The following is an 18,539-nucleotide window of genomic DNA, read 5'->3' on the forward strand; positions in this document are numbered from 1 at the left end:
CAGGCGGAGCCTCCACGATGGGCGTGGGCGCCTCGTGCGTGGGCCGGGGGCCTCGTGCGTGGGCGGGGATCGGGGCCTGGGAAAAACGGGAACCCGGTACCCGCCCGCGCCCTCGCGCGTCGGCCAGGAACCTCGGCCCCATGCGGGCGGGCCAGCGCGGCCAGGAGGGCCGGGAAGAGGGGTCCCCGGGGCCCCGGATGCGCTGAACTCCGGGGAGGGGATGGGCAGGAGAGAGAGCACACTCCTGGAGCCGCGACGTCCAAACCCGGACGCACTTGAACCCGCAGCGAGGCCCGTGGCTCGCGGCCTTCGGAGAGCACCCGCGCCCCGCGCAGACCGGACGCCGGCCTTGCCCGATCCTCGGCATCCTTCGGCGGGGCGGCCAGTCCCAGGGCGCTCGCTGAGGGCCACACCCTGGCCCCAGAGTTTAGCACCGCCGCGGGCAGGGCGCTCCGCTCCCGGACCCCGAATCTGAAAGCGGAGACCAAGGGCTGCCTGCGGCAAAGCTCGACATACACTTGATTTTCTTCCGATTTGGAGAAAATGTCACGGGCGAGAGCAAAAAAAAAAAAAAAAAAAAAAAAAAAAACCCTAACTGTAAATATTATTTGGAGGTGGGCGAGGGCGCGGCGTGCGCGCGGCGGCGGGTGGCGGGCGGCGCGGGCGCCCTTGCGGGGATTCCCGGTCTCTCAGCGCGCCCTAGTGGACGCCCTGCCTTTCGCTGGCTCCCCGTGCTCGTTACAATCTGCAATATATTATTTCTTCCGAAGTATTGACAATGTGTGAGACTCCAGTAACCCCGGAGCTCTCGTCTGTAATCAGCACATTTATCCACATTTAAGGGGGAAAATCCGAATTAAATCCCCGTGACCCTGATTGGGTTACAGTGTCATTTTCCCTGGATCCTCTTTTAAATCCACTCCACACTGCTTCTCTGTCTATTACATGCTAATTTAATTTTACTGTGGAAGATATTTTCAGGATTTGCTGAGGACAGTAAATTTTGTAGTTTATGTTATTTCACTTTTTATGACTTTTTAACACTTAATAAAATTTTATTAGAGCACTTTTGTGTTTACAAGGCCACAAAACTCTTGGCAGGTTGTCAGAAGTCCTTTTTATTATGATCCTACTGATATACTGCGAGTAATGAAATAATCATGTCCAGAAATGTATCAAAGGCCAGAGGGATTATCCCACTTAATAGCTCCACAGATGCGCCCAGAAGAATGTGGACGCGCGACAGGACGGGCTGAAAGGCTGCAGGAGGAAGCAGGCAGCCCCGGCTCCTGGCTTTACCATTTCGGTTGCTTTCCTAAAAGGCTACATGCAGGGTCATGTGACTTTCCGCGGTCTCAATAAAAAAAAAAAAAAAAAAAAAAAAAAAGAATTTATTCTATTGCAAAATGTGCTTTTCTTTTTATACTCCTTGTGTGGGCATTTAAGACTGTTCTAGTGGCAGTGGGGTTGGCTGTACATATCCATGTCAGTCACCGCGCCCGGCCCCACTTTCTTCTCATTTCTAAGTGTACTTTTGTGGCATTTAAACTGCCGATGGTGACTTTGGTGTTGAGCGGTGTTGTTTCCACAGCCCACACTGAAGGCATTGGGAGGGACCCAGGAGGGCACAAGGTGTTTTAAGGCCCTTTCCCACCTGCCAAACACCTTTTGCTGTTGCTTTTTGGTTTTATTTTGTTTTGCGAAACCGGGGAATAGTGACTTAAGGACTCGGCTTTCTGCCTTGTGCCAGAGAGCCACAGTACACTGCTTTTATTTTTATTTTTTGGTAAGACTTGGCTATAGGAAGGACTGAGAATATAGCTTTCATTTCTTTTAAAAAACATTTCCTTTTCTTTTAAATAGATACGTGATCATTTAACACACGGGTGTTAAGTTCATTCTTGCTGCAAAAGAAGGCCATTGTACCTCCTGACCCTGAAAGCAAGGTGGGTGGCTTTGTTTTATAATTAAATTTTCTGTCTTCAGCTTCATATTTCTCTTTCTCTGTTATTTCCTAAAGAGTGTGTCAAAGTGATAAAAGAGGTGAGGAATGGACTCATAAACAGAGTGATTTTGAAATTACTGTTGGTGTATCCATAGCACGTGTTCTTCTAAACTTTGGCTTTTAAGGATTTCAGCAGGGTTTTTCACAAGCAAGTGTGTGTGTGTGTTTCATGTTCCAACATATCACATTAGGATTTTGTAATCTGTCACTGTTTAAAACAGCCTCTGGGAAGCGCGCCTCTCTCTGGATTGCCTCCATCACACGTGTGTTCTCTCCCATTCAGAAATACATAAGGCTGCTCATGATGCTCTTTGATTTCAACTTCAAGGAAGCAGTTTAGTTTTTTGTATGTCGTTTGCTAACCATGGACAAAATTTAGCACCTGGTCTAATAGTCTTCTGTGTGTCTGTGATGGCCTAGATTCTGAAAAGAGCTTACGAAGGACTGCAGTCCTACCTTAAAAATAATTATGTCCTGAGATCATTTGGGCAGCCATTTATCTCCTTTTCTGGTATTTTCTATTTGCAAATATGAGTCAGTTTTTCTTTCTCTTTTTCAAATTATTTCTCTAACAGTTAAAGAACTAGGAAAGAAAGTGATGTTAGGCCCTGACTAAATATTCTTCCTTCATTCTGCTTACTACTGACGGCTTGTTTTCTTTGCCTTTTACCACATGAGACACAAGATATGAGACGGAGCAGAGAAAAAGGTTCTGATGTTAGCTCTCCAAATTCCAGAGTGTTTTGCATAAGGGAATTTATGCTCAAGTTCAGGAATCAAGAGGAACATATTAATTTTCATTCTGCTATGAAGTGACAGTTCAATTTTATGAGTAATTTGTGTCTGGGACAATTTAAATAATACTTAAAAGCCTGCAGTAGCTTTCAAGTTAAAAATCTATTGTGTTCAATTATGAAGTAAACCTCCCCAAGGCAGATCCATTTAATGCATCAAAGTATGTTTTTAACTCTTATTCAAAACTCCAAGAGATTGGCTTAAATATGGTAACTGATGGCACACAGCTGTGTTAATGGAGGGCTAACTAGTGTCCACACCGACTTCACAGTCCCTTCTCAAGTCTTCAGTGATGAAAGGAAAGAAAAGAGTGAAGCCTCAATCTTTTCATCTAGAGAATCGATCTTCAAAAACAGGAGTAAAGGAGCCACACCAGAAGCATGCAATGGTCTCCTCATAAGAAAACGTGCTGTTACAAAGCAGTAAGGTATTGGTGATACCAGGGCAGACCCTAGAACCACTTTGCTTGTTTCCAATCCAGTTCTGCTGTCTATTACTGTGTGGCCCTGGACAAGTTATATAACCTCTCTGTGATTAGTTTTTTCATCTGTAGAATGAGACTGATGCTAGTCCCCCCCTCCTAGTTTTGTTGAAAAGTTTAAAGAGTTAATTCATATGAAATGCTTAAAACAGACCCTGAGTGCTTCTTAAAACAAACTCCTGGAAGACTGACATATCCATCACCTAGCACAGTGCCTGGCACATAGTAGGTCAATCAATATTTGTTGGATGAATATTGGATGTTATTTCATTGAGTGCCCTAGTTGGTTCAGGTGTGACCCATGAAGCAATGACTGAAGCACTCTCAGCCTCAGGTGTGGACTTGACTACTGAGAGTGGGCAGCACTCCAAGAGAAGTTTTATCCAACTGCAATTTTACTTTTTCTACGGATTTCTATGTTGTCTTCTTGATTAACAATTGGGTTATAAAGCTTTTGAGAAAAGAGCATCCGAAATTTTGAGGGGTCTCTATAGCACTTACCACAGTGCTTTGTACATAAGTAATAGACAATTGGTAAGACAGTATGCCACACATATCAGAGCAGTATGCATTACAGTCTTTTATTCAATAAACGATGGTTACAGGCACTATGCGAAATCTTTTCCATACATTGTTTCATTTTATTCACACTAATTTTCATACAGGTAGTTACAATCCCTATTGTATAGGTAAGGAAAATATGAGGCTCAGAGAAGCCTAGTGACTTTCCCAAGGTCACACAGCTAGTAAATGACAGGTCTGGATGTTTAGTCCAGGTCTATGGAAATGTCAAACATATACAGTTAGCACTACCCTGCACTGCCTCCCAATCTGTTTGGCTTTAAAGAGTCCCTAATCAATCTGGTCATTTACAATTAATGTGTAAACCATAATGAAAATGGAAATGATTAAGGCTGGAACCCAGGCCTATTATTCTTGAATTAGTCTTGTGCGGTGGTTGGAATACTAGGCCCAGTGGGGTGAGACACAGGCCTGCCTCCCAGGGTCTTTCCTGTCCTCCGCTCATTCCACCACTACATGTAGATATTTGAAAAGGCCCAGAGGAAAAGTCAGGGTTACTTTTTTCCCCTCTGTGGAAAAACATGATGAAGCTGAATTTACCTCAACTAGTATTAAAACATCAAGTGAACAGATGTACATATTGATTAAAGATGAAGAAAGGAGAACTCAGACAAGTGGGTGGCAGAGCAGTTTTTCCTTTTAACCAAACGTTCTTTCTTTATGGCCTTTAAAGATATGCATTCTTCCAAGATACTTGATGGGTGTTCTGACCATTTCAGGGAATGAAGAACAGCCTGAGACCATAAGGAAAGCCTTGATTCATGTACGAGTTTCTTTAATGAGTAAGCAAGAGTCATGCAAGAGTGCTCTGCTGTAGCCATGTGATTCATTCTGTACCCCTGAAACAAATATGTACAGAACCCCAAAAGAGGAAGCTAAGGAGCCTGTGAGTTATTCTAAGGAATGTGCAACACCCCCTATTAAAAACTCCATCCTAAAACGGTGAAACCCCGTCTCTACTAAAAAAATACAAAAAATTAGCCGGGCGTAGTGGCGGGCGCCTGTAGTCCCAGCTACTTGGGAGGCTGAGGCAGGAGAATGGCGTGAACCCGGGAGGCGGAGCTTGCAGTGAGCCGAGATCCCGCCACTGCACTCCAGCCTGGGCGACAGAGCGAGATTCCGTCTCAAAAAAAAAAAAAAAAAAAACTCCATCCAAGGATAAATTTCAAAAGTAGATGCTGAAAAGATGGAAGTCACTGGCTCCACCTGGTAAATCCTATACTATCCCTGAGAAGGCAGAAGTCATTCTTAGGTTTAGAGAGAGTCTACTACAGCCAAAACAGTTAGAATTAATCTTGGACTTATGACTTTGTGGCTGTTATTGCTGGGACAGGGGGACGGAAATGGGGGGAGGAATTGAGGGATACCTCCAAAGAACTCACAAGTCTGCAGAGACCGAGCTCACTACATAAATACAGCAGTGGCAGACTCCAAACCTCAACTTGCTGCTCAGGGAACCCCAGGCAGTACCAGGCTTTGGTGGCTTTGCTGGAAAAGAGTTCTGGGGTTTACCAGCCCTCTCATGCATTTAACTCTGGGCACTCAACTCACCTTAAGTCTTTGAGTTTTCTTATTGAAAGAGAAAAGTAATCACACCTTAAATTAAATTTATGGGTTTTTTTGAATAAAGGATATACTTATAGTTTCCAGCTCTTCACTGTGAAGTCTGATTAATTTTTTAACAGATGAGGAATTTGTGTATTGATGAATATTTGATAAAAACAAGAGAAAACATTAAAAAGCAACATGAACTGCAGAGTTCAATCCCACCAAAATAAAAATGTAGCACTGTATATCTTGAAACTGAGGTTAGACTCTCTAGGAAGAACATGGAGGAAATAAATGCTCAATCCATATTGCAGCAGACATAATTTTAAGCCACCACAACTTTCAAGGACCTTTGAACCATTTTCTTCAAATTTGCCTTGCCTTTCTTTCTGCATCTGTGAACTTGCCAAGTTAGAGTTTATTGCTGTAACAGGTTTTGAATGATAGTGTATCTGTTTTGAAAAGGTCAGTACTTTTTGATTATTTGATGGAAAGAATGTGTGCTTTTCCTTTTTTATGTATCTTTCAAACCAACTGTCTTGATATAAATGGAATCTTTAAAAAATATATTTACCCTTTTTAGACTAAGACCAAACATTCCGTTCCATGAAAGTCATGAGTGGTTGCTGAAAGGAGGTTATGAATGAAATAGTGTCTCCGCTTGAACGTCAGCAGCTAGCCTGCATTTATTCCTCAATTTCCAGAATCTAGAATAAAAATAGTGATTAGCAAGGCCAAAATACAAAACCCCAGGACGTAAAGCAGTGAGCACAGGGAGGCTCCCAGGACAGGAAGCCACTGGAAGCTGGTTGCTAGGAGACACTCGTCTTTTGCCGGCAGCAGGAAGATGTCCTTGAGCATGGCTTCCCCTGTGGTTGGCTTTGGACAAGCCGTGAATCAGACTGTCCTCACTAGTGCCGCCCTCCCAGCAGGGCCGACCAGCCTACCATACAGGTGCCACTGAGGGGCAATGGTGGGTCCTGTTCCCTGGGAAAGTTTCTCACATGTGCCCAGCTTTTCTGATATGCTCTTCTGAAATCAACAAGCATTTGATGTCTACTCTGGGTTATAAGAATATGGAAAAAAAAAAAAAACAGTTTCCTGGGTGGTGCTTTTTAGGTGAGAATTTTAAAAAATAAAATCATACCCTAAATTATACGAAACAGCCTACAAGAGCTGTAGGAAAAAAGATAAGATAATGAGTTAATGGTAATTAAAAGAGAAATCATAGAGGAGAGAGCATCAGAGCTGGAGGATTCACCTAGGGAGGAGGATGCTGGCAGGGGAACACCCTGTTTACTGTCAAGAGCTCTCGGAGGGCCCTTGATGGCAGTGAACTTGTCTTTCTTGCTCCCAGAAGCATCCCCAGTACATAGGACAGTGTTTGTCAGAGTGTTCAGGGTTCAATGGCTGAACAAATGCAGGAGAATGAAGATGCTGAAGATGAGCAGAGGGGCTTGGTGGTCATTGTTGGTGTTCCAGGGAAGAACCAGTGGAGAGAATGCTGAATGAAGAAGGCTGGCCTCATTGTTATCAGAGTCTGTAGTGGAAAATGGTGAGAAATGAGGTGGCTGGATAAGGTGCAGACCAGTTATGAAGACTCCTAAAAACCAGACAGAAAATGGCTTAAAGAAATTAGGGAGCTACTGTGGGAATCTGAGCCTGGTAGAGATGAAAGTTTTATGGTTTACAAATGCTTCTTTTCAAATGCATCATCGCTTAACATGTACAGTTTATTATATGTCCGTTACAACTCGATAAAGCTGTTAAAAATACATGATCTCATTAGGTGTTCAATATTTGGTGAAATGGACCTTATCCTTATTTCATTTTTACAGATGAGGAAACTGAGACCCAGAGAGGTTCATGGCTTGCCCGAGTTCAAACGTTTCAGATGACAAGCCAAGACTTCCGGGTTTTCTGCCTCCACGTCCCTCATTTGCTTCTTTCTGAATGCAGCTCTCTGCTGAGGGACTTGGAAGGAGACTGGCCTGTGGTTGGGGAGGCCAGTTGGGAGGCGGCGGCAGATGGCTGTTTGCAGTTTTCTCTCCCTCTCTCTCCCTTGCTTTCTTGTCTATGCTGCCCTCACCTTCTCTTCTTTTCTCCTCCATTGTTTCTTCTTCCCTGACAGTGTCTCAGACCTCTGGGTGGCATCCTGCTAAGCTGCACATGTGGGGGTTGCTCCCTGACTGTCACAGCTGCTAAGGGGCCAGCTTTAGGGCAGTGCTGTGCCATTTGGACATGAAGGGCAGCACCTTTGGGACCTGCAGCATTACATCTGTGGCACCTCTTTGGAGAGGTCTGATGTAAAAGAGAACACAAAGAATGAGATTTGGAGCCCAGGAAATATTACTAAGATTCAGACAATACGTGGGAATGTTGCATTTAAATATGCAGTTAACAGATCATCTTAATCGTCTTCCCCAGACCTAGCTTCAAAAGCATTCACCCAGTTCTCACATGTGTGAGTGAAAATCACTTAGATTTTGACTTGGCTATTAAATGGCCTCAAGCAAAAGCAAGTCAACCAAATTAGAAAGAAGGCAAAGTGCTATGGGCTTTGGAGCGAGATGACTGTGAAGTTCAATCTGGATTCCTCCATTTACTACATGTCACTAGTGCTAGATGCTACTTAGCCTCTTTGGGCCTCAGTTTTCTCATCTGTAAAATGGAAATAATGAGTCCAACTTAACAGGTTTGTTACAGCAATTAAATAACCGATGTATTGTGCACAGTGCCAGGCATGTAGTGAGCCCTCACCATGTGAATGGCAGCACCAGCATCCACATCAGCTCATCATCTTCATCAGTGGCATTACCTGAAACACTCTGTCCTCATCCGTGACATACATTAGAGGAAAACAGCCTTGTTTTCTTTAGGTTTTGTATTCTCCCAAGGCTGAAACTTGTATTTGTAATGCTACAACTTTGATAATTTTTTCCCTTAAGAGTTCCTTCAGCAGCATTTTTTTCCTACCAACTTGCATGTGTAGAGTTATTCAGTAGATGACACCGAAGAGTTTCATAGTGAATGTTTGTTGAGTGAATGTATGAAATGAACAATACCACCACCTCCAAAGCAAGTTTATTTTCTCTTGTTGATTCTAATGAGGATTTTGTTTTTAAATGGGGTAGGTGGTGGTGGTTGGTATGTGGTTTTGATAGCCAGGAGTGATGTGGCACAGGTGGTTGTGTGGGGTTAGGGATGGCTAGCCCATCAACCCAATCATATGGAAATTCCTTTTCATTATACTGCAAAGCAGCCAGCTAGAAATGGAAAATCTAGTTAACTAGTTCTTTTATGGAAAACATCCAAGTTGGTAGAAGTTTTTTTCACTGAATGTCTCCTAACACCTCCCTGATGGCCTGGCTAGATTGACTCATTATTTCCAACCGACCAGCTTGACCTGACAGAGCTTCTGTGACAGAACCCCTGCCCAAAGCTCCTTCTATCCCCAAAGCGCTCTGCTGGCTGCTCTGGAGAGCGCAGGTTTGACAATCTCCAGTCTCCCCTCCATTGAGTCTTAACTGTTTCTAACAATCATTTCACGGCTGAACCCCAATTTGCATCATGGGTATAGACAAGGGGTAGAATACTAGTATTAAACAGTTGAATACGTGGCAAATGGGAGTAGAATTAAGACAAACAAACAACAGTAAAGAGATCAAGAAGCCTGCTAGTGTGAAAGGCAGTTTGGGCTGCTAAGTCATATCTTCCCAAGGGGTAATATACAAGCAACTGGAAACAAGAGGTGTCTTCTTAACAATAGAGTCAGACATACATACACCCTTCAATCTTTTAGTAATACTTTGGGTTAAAAAATGTTTAAATATTAGGCCTATATTTTCCTTTATTACCAGAGCCTCTTCTTCCAGATTCTATCAGAAAGCTAATACTAACAATAATGTCGTATAGGTTCTAAGATTGTGGGAAACCTCACTTCAAAGCCCCTTCATTAGAAGCTCAGACTTCCATACTAGCACCTAGTTTCAGGCCCATGTTGGGACTAATTACTGCCACTGGGTTTGTCGTGAGCCATCGCACCTGGCGAACCTACCTATATCTTTCTTTGAATGTGCTCAGACCAAGGGTCTTATCTTAAAGGAATATCAGACCAGAGCACCAGACCTATGGCTGAGAAACACCTTTTTTACCCCAGCACACATTTTCCCATCCATCCATTCATCCATCTCCAACAAATAACCTTACACAGCTTCCCCACTCTGAAAGGTAGATACCATATCTGTCTACTTTATCTCCAAATCATAGTCCATAGCCAGCAGAGCGTAACCACCAAAGGAATATTTGTTCAATAAATAAGTGAACAGTTATAAAATGCCCACTATATTGGCATAGTCATACATATATGATGAAGCACAGTCCCTGCCTTCTTGATACTCACAGTTGTTTTTCAGGATAGCTTTGTACCCCATCAGAAAAAAATAGATTTCAAGGCCGCTAATGTTCCTTTTATATTCCATTGGCTGGCCGTGTCAATATTGACTGTGTAATGCACTGACAGATGCGCAGTTCCCTTCAGAGAGAAATGAGAAAAAAAAAAAAAACAGCTTCACATCAGGCAAATTTTGATTATTTCTTTCTAAAGTGCACAGCACCTCCAGTCACTAATGGTTGTAAGAGACTTCGGGGACACTAATCTTAATGCGCCATTTCCTATAGGTCTTGTTAGTTCCTAAAACCATCTGTAAGAAGTTATTGTATTTGGCTTTCTTCAGCCATATTTTTTAAGCACGACATTTAATTAGTGCTTGTTAAGATGTTTCAAGTGCTTTGGCCACTTCTCTCACCCCTGCTGTTTCTTCATGGTCAGCATATTTTCTGGAAATGTTGTTTTCGGGAAAGGGCATCAGATGCGTCTGTGTCTGGAGAATTGCTCTGTGTATCCATGTGAAGCAAGTCTCTGAGAGCAACTGGAGGGACTGTCAGGCTGGCTGTGGGGCCTCCGTGTTCACAGCAGCTACTTTGAAAGGCCTCCAGTTTTGACGTTCTCATGGAAAAAGCAGAGACCTCAAAATGGGTTTGGAACCGACAACAATAGGAGGGTACACTGGAGCCCTGGAGAAGAATGTCACATAAGTGAAATGTATTTGAAATATTTAATCTAGGAACCTTTGGATTAACTTCATTAAAAAGAGTTTGCTTGAAAGGGCATAATTTTTGCTCGAAGAGACCTTATGAAAACTGCAAAATGGTTGATGGTACTGAAATATCCACCCATGCTCACTAAAGGAATAAATAGGTTGAATATAATTCCATTATTTTTGCAACTGTTTAATACCATAAAATTCATTAAAATTTCAAACTGCTTTACAAAATAAGACATTTTTTTCTAAGTTTTTCCCCAAAATTCTTTATCCACATTTGGATTAGAATGGCTTGATATTTGTAGTAGTTTATGAAGCGCAAATTCATGTCAAATCTGATATACAAAAGAAAAGTATTTCAAGATAATACGGAATCTGTGAAAATGAAGAAATATGTGTATTTAGCTAGGTTAAGAAACGCTATCTAATCTACTAGCATAACCTCAAATTTTTTTTGAGACATATTCGAGGAACAAAAAGCTTTATGCCGATCATTGCTTTAATGGTAATTAAGTTTTCTTTCTCTTTGAATTTTACTGTACTCTTCTAAGGTAAAGAGGAAGCACAATACATGTAATATAGAGTTAGTCAAATTATTAATATTCCACATGTAAAGTAATTTCTACTGGAGCCTTTTTTTTGCCTCTGTAATCTAAACATTAAAGTATATTGAAGTCTTTAGTCAAAGACTGGCATTTGGCACTGGGTGTCCAAACATTTCCCGCTGGGCCCTCAACCACTAACAAGCTTTTTGTTTGGATAGAAGAGAAAGGGGAGAGTAAGGAGTTGAGCTGGCTAACTCTTGACATCTGAAATCTTTATCAGTCACAACGACTTTTTTGGTTTGTGTTGATGATTTGTGGTATTGTTGTTTATCTGTATATCATTCACTTGGACTCGCTGTTTAGATGCAAAGATCTCAAGACCATCTGCAGTCTTGATGGGTAGTTGTAGCAGCCCGACCAGACATCTGGCTGTCAGTTATAATTGCATTCCTGCTCCTAAAGTTGTTGTTAGATACTCCTGATTCCCTTTGAATGTATTACCGTGATGCACCACCGTTTCAGGCCATTGATGTGAGAGACCGAGTTAATTCCTGGCTTTCGTCTGGCTAGAACCAAGATTTATAAAATGAACAGAACTATCCATTTTGCTGGAAGTGTGGCTGTTTTTGTCTGCATTAGGTTTAATGATGCATCAGTTTCTTCTGCAGCCTATACAACTGATTCTTTGAACATGGAGAGAAATAGTGCATCCGAAAACTATTTTCATGGTGTTGCCATGTTTACTATTTCCTGTTGTCTTTGCCTGAAAGTGTTTTAACAAAAATTAGGGTAGAGCATACAAACATTTGAGGCAGGGGATGAAAGGAGTTGTTATTATGTTTCCTTTCCAGGTTAATGTGGTTGCCTTTGATTTAAGCACTACATACTTAGGACAGGATATGACACCAATTAAAGACATGAAACTTAATTTTTGGACTAAACAATCACATAATCCTTCTTCTGGTATCTGGTTGAGGTTTACTGACATGGCATTTATTTCTCAGTCACAATCCTAAATTTATTGGGTTGGCTTTACTTAAGGTACATGGGGCAACTAATATTAGTGCATGTAAAAACCTAGCAATGTCCTAAATTGTAAAGGAGCTATTATAAAGAGAACATATTTTTTCCCGATGACTGTCAACATGAGATCAAGAATGCATGCAAACTCACTCCATGAGCCCTGGGCTCACTCATCTTGGTTGGAGGCAGATTTTGATTTAAGATCTAAATTTCAAAAAATGAAAATCAATTTTATCTCATAAAGTACAACAGGGAAAATTTTTACTAATAACCTCTCCTTAGCCTTAAATTTAAATTACATTTTTGTCAAGAGAATTTTAGTATTTATTGAAAATCAAGTTTAGATAATAATCACAAAATAATGCATTAATCGTTTAAAAAGATAAAAAGTAATGTACTGTTTGTGGGTAACACATTTAAATAATAAAATTGAATATTAGTGTTTAATTTTAGTACAAAAAATAATTAAAATGAAGGCATGCAAATATAATGAGCCAGGTTAACCTCCCCATCTTTCCACTTTGACACCTTGTTTAACTCTAGCTAATGATGCTATGAAAAAAAGTATTAGTGGTTTCAGTTCAGCCCCTGGTGGTCTATATCACATATTGCATAACCTGCTGGTGGGTCTTACGGGCTATTTCTCATTTACAGACAGTAGCCTTTTATAATTCTGTCTGGAAGTGGGGGATTGCAGAGGGAGGGTGCCCTGTTTTAACCTATTTATTATGCACTTGAAAATACTGAAAATGTTTATAGAAGTCAAATTAAATTTTGTAAAACACATTAGTGCATTCATATGTTCAAACCTGAGCCTACAATTCTATACCAACTACTCACGTAAAGTCATTATGTGGAAAAGAAAAAAGTCACTTATGGCTTCTACTCCATGTGGAAAATTACCAAAGACTGCAGTTTTTCTAACCACGAATGGTCTCATTTCCCATGTGCAGTTGGTTAGCTCCTCACTGTATCCCCAAGGAGTGCGTGAGTCTGAAGCACTGCAGAAAAATGAGAATTTTCACACTTTAAAAGAGCCAAGGCAGCATTTGTAATGACTAAAAATAAGAGCAGAAGAAGTAAAAGAGGAAAGAAAGATTGGTCCCTGGTTTTCCTTCCCCTCTGTTAAGCGAGACCATGGAGTTTCCAGGTGAAAGTCAATTGTGGGCTTGCTTTTAATTTATACAGGACGTTAGGAAAGAAAAAGAAAGAAAAAGAATACCAACTCCCTTAAATTTCCTAGCTCAAAGTTGCTTGCAGTGAATGCTAAAATGAAAGGAGTTATCAAGGCCAAATTCACTATACAGCTTTTGCGAACTGTTAGAAGCAATTTCCAGGACCTGTGCTTTTACATAGGTTTGCTTTCACTCTCAGCTTGAGTGTTAATTTTTGACTAGTTCTTTCTATCCTTTCGTCAAATGTACACATCCATTTCTTCCGGCATCTCATACACACACTGCACACCACACACACACACGTGCATTATATACATAAGCAAATACCTCTAGCCACTTGGTAACAGTATTTTAGAAAGCAGCTTGATATCTGGATTAGAGAGTTGAATACTTTCAGACAACTCTCGTGGGCACAATGTGTTAACTGTTTTCTGTGCCACCATTTTATTGTATGCGAGCGGATGGCAAAATGGTGGTTCCAGCTTTTTGTTGTATAAGGACTCCTTCGCATTCAGCCTCTGATTGAAGAACCAGTTTGTATACCGATAGAAAAGCCAGGCTTCTCAGTCTGGGAGACTGACTAAATAAACCATATACGCAAATCTTCTTCTACTCACTGCTTTGCAGACGCTTAACCAAAATTTTGCATATATAAGTACAAAGGGAGCAAATCCTGATTAAAATAAAAAATGGACAGAAATGATATTCCATTTAAATATATAATTCAATGGTGTTGGTAAATACATATGTTATTAAAAGACCTTCCAACGTTGCCATAAGTAAACTACCTTGAGAAAAGGTCCAACACAGAGTTAGCGTAGAGAATGTGAATGTTTTACTTGTGCATAAACGATCTTTCCAGATCAAGGTCGAGGTCATTGGCAAGATAGTTTAGTGAGCTCATTCTACAGTTATTTGCACATGCAAATTGGGGTTCCAATTTTAAAAATATTATTGCTTTTTGTTCATGAGAAGAGCTTTGATTAAATTCTTAAAATAAGAATATTAAAATAATTGAACAATATACCTGTGCTAATAATATTCAGTTTTAATTAGCTCCTAAATAGAATCAAAGCTAAAATGGATTTTGACGTACCCTTAACTGGATCTCAAATTAAGGAGAGATGAATTTGACTAAGAGAAGATTTTTACATTGTTGTCTATTACAGCTGAATTACCACTCTCTTTTGTCTGAAGAAAAATATTTTCTTCTCAACGAGGTATATATTTTTAAGACTGAAGACAACTGAAGCTTACAGCATATAGTATTTGGTTAGATTTTTTTTTTTTTTGCTTTTTGACTGCAGTTGCCAAACATTTGAGATTATAAAAACGATAGTACTACATAAAATAGACCTGCAGCAACACTGTTTATGGCACACGCAACAATATTATTTTCTGCTGTTTGGTGTGCAGGAGTTGTAAATAGCAAAATGTGTAAGCCATTAAATCTAGTAGCAATAGGACTCAAAGCAAGGTTTATTATACCAGTGCCTGAAAAGCTTTACTTTTTATCTCTGTGTGTTAAATTTTCGTGTTTGCAACAGTATTTTAGCTCTGGAGCTATTTATCTGGTAGCATCTTTGAGAAAAAGGAAATGGACAGATGTCCATAAACAAAGGGCTCCACCTGGTGGTAAAGAGGAGGTATGAAATGTTGATGAAGAGAACTAATGCTGCAAAGGCAAACAGATGGAAGAGCAACGCGTGTGCGTGTGTGTATGTCTCCTAAAATGAATATGTTTGAAGGAAAGAGAATGACAAAATCCTCCAAATTTGGATTCCAGTGTGGATATAGGCTTACAGCTAACATTATTTGATTATTTCTTTCACATTCAGTCATTCCAATATGTTTACAAATTATTTTATTCAAAATACATACATCTGAACAGATATTAACAGATGACCCTAACAGATACTAGGTACAATTGATGACAAACTATCCATATCATCTGATCATCTTAGGTTTTAGTAGAATGCCATCTAGTAGACAGATTTAAACAAAGAAAGCATTTGTTCCGACTCGAGGGCATCCTTTAGGTGGCTTTGTGGCTCACCTAGTTAGGAAGACCTGAAAAGGATGTGGTGCAGAGCTCCGGGGAGGGAAGCAAGGGTTTCAAATCCATGACTAAGAAACAGAAAATTGTTCATTTTAAAATGTCATCTGTGGCTGAAGTGTTGAAGAATTTGAATCTGCGTATTGTGATTCTTCCACCTTTTCAAACTCTAAAATTAGGCCAGGAATTACATATATCAAATACTATGCAAAATGTAAAACAGGCATGCCGTTTATGGCTCTCTACGTAAGGTGGAAATTAAATCTTCAGCCTCCAATAAAATTGTATTTCTGTAATAAAACTGCTGCACCTTGACTCTAGACTACATTGAATCCCAAATTAAACACTCCATTTGCTGTACTGTAACAAGCAAAAGGGTTTGCTACACTGAACAATATTACAGATAGGAAAAACGTATTCTTTTTTGCTTTATCACCTATGTAGAGACCACGAAAACAGGCTAATTCCTCATCTCTTCTTTCTCAGAACACAACATGTTTTGATATGGGAAATTTTAAAATTCTATCTTTCATTGCTAAAATTTATATTTCTTCCTAATTCTATAAATCAGCATAGATGACTAGGCCTAAAAAAAGTCAACCAAGTAGGATATTTACTACAAAATGTCTACTGCATTTCATGGATAACTCAGGCTTATAAGCAGAAACAGCTGGTGTGCTAAAGGCTAGGTACATTTCTTTATGCATTATGTATAATTCCCCATAATGTACATGCAACATTCACTCCACATCCATATCTGAAGTGCACACATACTGCTACATGATCTATGAAAGTTTTAAACTTAGGATCTGTTAATACATATGTATTTATCTCACCCAGTGTTGATTTAGAAGAAATTAGACTGGATGTTCTTTTAAGCAGTCTAATTCTATAGTTTTTTTTTCCCTCACCACGCCATGGCCCAGCCAGCGCTGACTTCTGGCATTTGTAAAGTGTCTGTAATAGAAATGAAAGCCTACCCAGGGTGAGGAATAGAAAGCAATGAATACTAATGTTGCTTCTTCTTACCAACTAAAGTGCAGGCGAACAAGACAGGAAGCTGTCTGTGCCTCTCTGTCTCGGCCGTCCTCCCTTGGCTCTGCCAAGCCACCCTCTAGTGGACTGAGGGGGGAATTTCCTTTCCTGGCTGCCTCACTCGGCTATTCATTTGATAAATGAGCTCCCCTCCCCCTCTCTCAGGAGATGGTAGATATTATTAACCTTCAAGCACGATACAGCGAGATGAATGTTAATCATGAAGGGATTTCTCATCAAGTTTAATGGTGTAAGACATAGAGAAGTTGTGTTAGCAGTTTCAATCCTGCTAAAAATGCTAATTGTTATGTTTCATATGATAGGTGAGGATAATAGGAAAATGGCAACAGCTTCAGCGTTTCCATTTGGAAGTTGTTGCCCATAATTTTGAGGCAAATATAGAGGAAAAGATTACGGTCCTTAGTATGAATGACTTGTGAAGAGGCTAATTTAGGGCTGCTTCTTTGGAGACATTGGAGATTTGAGGCTTGACATCTACTGAGCTCAAGAAAAGAGAATTTTCTGCTGGGAAGAACTAAAGCCAAAAGAAGAAATTTTGGACCTAGAAAGAACATGAGTCTATGGTAAGGGATACAAGGTTATAGTGTTGAGTACTGATCTTTTGAGCACTTTCTGTCTTCTACATTTTTCTCTGTGTTTCACTGGCACTTTTGCCAACATGTAGAGGTAATCTTTTTTTTAAAGCAGTTATTTCATCCTGACCTAGGAATCATAGTAAGTGCACTTAGGAGTCCTAGATGAACCCCAAGAGAAATGCCATTTTTGTTTTTCTCAACATGTCCCTTTCCTTGCCCCATGAGTTGTTACCCATGCTCTGGCATAAGGACACCCTACTGTCCCCAGCTTCAATGACCCCAGTCTTGCAGAGTTGGCTTCTCATGTAGCTCTGTTGTTTGTCCTGGTCCCTAACTGTTTGAGCTGGGGTTCTTTCGGGGCACATACACACACAAGTGGGGATCCTGGAATGTTATATGAGCAATGTCTTCAGTGTATACTTTTACTTGACTTTGATTACCCTAAATTCTATTGCTCAACCCTAAACTTCTATAGTAGCTCATGGTGTTACCTGTGAATGAACTGGAAAGCATTTTGCTGCAAGGAAGCTTATCAGTTGAATGTGGGCCTTGAAAAATTTCCTTGTAATTTCATAGTTTATGTGTTCAGTTTGACTTTAGAAAGCATCTAAATGATAAATGCAAATTCAAAAATAATCCATTAAGGATATGAGCCTATGTGGATATGGACCTTTTTAACTGTATTGTCCCAGTTTTCATATGTAGCTTTTGTCATCATTTTTTTACAGACTCCTATAAAATGGAGTCAACATAGAGAAAATATGTGATTCTCCAGGTGCTAACATGAGATGGGATATCAATGACTAACATTATTTTCCCATCAATAATGATAATTATACTAATTAGTCCAGGCATCACACCTGTGTAAAATCCCTATCCCTATTTTACAGATGAAGTCACTGAGACACCAAAGGTTAATTGCTTGCCCAAAGCCATGTAGCAACTTGGTGAGTACCAGTATTTAAAATCTTACACTCTTGCTTCCTTAACAATGGAACAAAGTTATTGCTTGTATCACAGGAGATTGGTGTCAATGAACAATGGAGCAAAGGGGTCACATATTGCTTGTTTTAAAATTGTAGACTCTTTCTCATATTAATGGAGTCCTTTACTGTGTTTTCCAGGTTGAAGTTACTTTAGTGTCGAAAGCTCCACATATGTGCTTTTCGCAAAATCAATAGTCACCCCATGCAAACGAAGAGATGGTAATTAGAGATGGGACAGACCCCAACATATCCTTCATTTGAAGATAGAATAAATTCAGCAAGATACCTAATTATTATCATCATCTTTCACAAAAACATATGTGATTTTTCCCCCCTACCCAAATGTTTTAGTGAAAACTGCAACTGTGCATTAAAAGGCAGTTTTGCATGCATATATTCAGAGAACAATATGGAGAATCTATCCCTTGGGATAAAAAAAAAAACACCCAGCAACAACAAACTTGAAAACAGATGGTTCTGATACAGTCTGATAAGAATGTAAACAAGAAAATCTTTGTTGACTTATTTCATAGTAATCAGTAATAATTAGTTATTGTCTAGAGGTGAGTTACAAATTTCACAAGCATGGCCACGAACAGCCTCTGAA

General features: G+C 40.2%; 1 long non-coding RNA gene across 1 annotated transcript, besides 3 other annotated features; it reads left to right on the forward strand.

Moving 5' to 3' along the window:
- The first annotated feature begins 126 nt into the window (after positions 1-126).
- LINC01117 (long intergenic non-protein coding RNA 1117) lies at positions 127-18,331 on the forward strand. The gene is made up of 4 exons (NR_110599.1): positions 127-381; positions 1,864-1,946; positions 17,837-17,893; positions 18,071-18,331. It is a non-coding gene; the product is annotated as a long intergenic non-protein coding RNA 1117 (long non-coding RNA).
- Positions 592-641: a silencer, noted in NCBI's record as "silent region_12138". NCBI's record gives its function as "represses an Ori minimal core promoter by ATAC-STARR-seq in GM12878 lymphoblastoid cells {active_cell/tissue: GM12878}" and the evidence as "EXISTENCE:reporter gene assay evidence [ECO:0000049][PMID:35858748]".
- Positions 802-1,316: an enhancer, noted in NCBI's record as "VISTA enhancer hs248". NCBI's record gives its function as "enhancer in: nose[7/8]" and the evidence as "EXISTENCE:transgenic organism evidence [ECO:0001131][PMID:17130149]".
- Positions 4,606-4,695: a silencer, noted in NCBI's record as "silent region_12139". NCBI's record gives its function as "represses an Ori minimal core promoter by ATAC-STARR-seq in GM12878 lymphoblastoid cells {active_cell/tissue: GM12878}" and the evidence as "EXISTENCE:reporter gene assay evidence [ECO:0000049][PMID:35858748]".
- Positions 18,332-18,539: the final 208 nt, after the last annotated feature.

The sequence above is a fragment of the Homo sapiens genome, chromosome 2 (genome assembly GCF_000001405.40).
Source record: "Homo sapiens chromosome 2, GRCh38.p14 Primary Assembly".
Classification (NCBI taxonomy): Eukaryota; Metazoa; Chordata; class Mammalia; order Primates; family Hominidae; genus Homo; species Homo sapiens.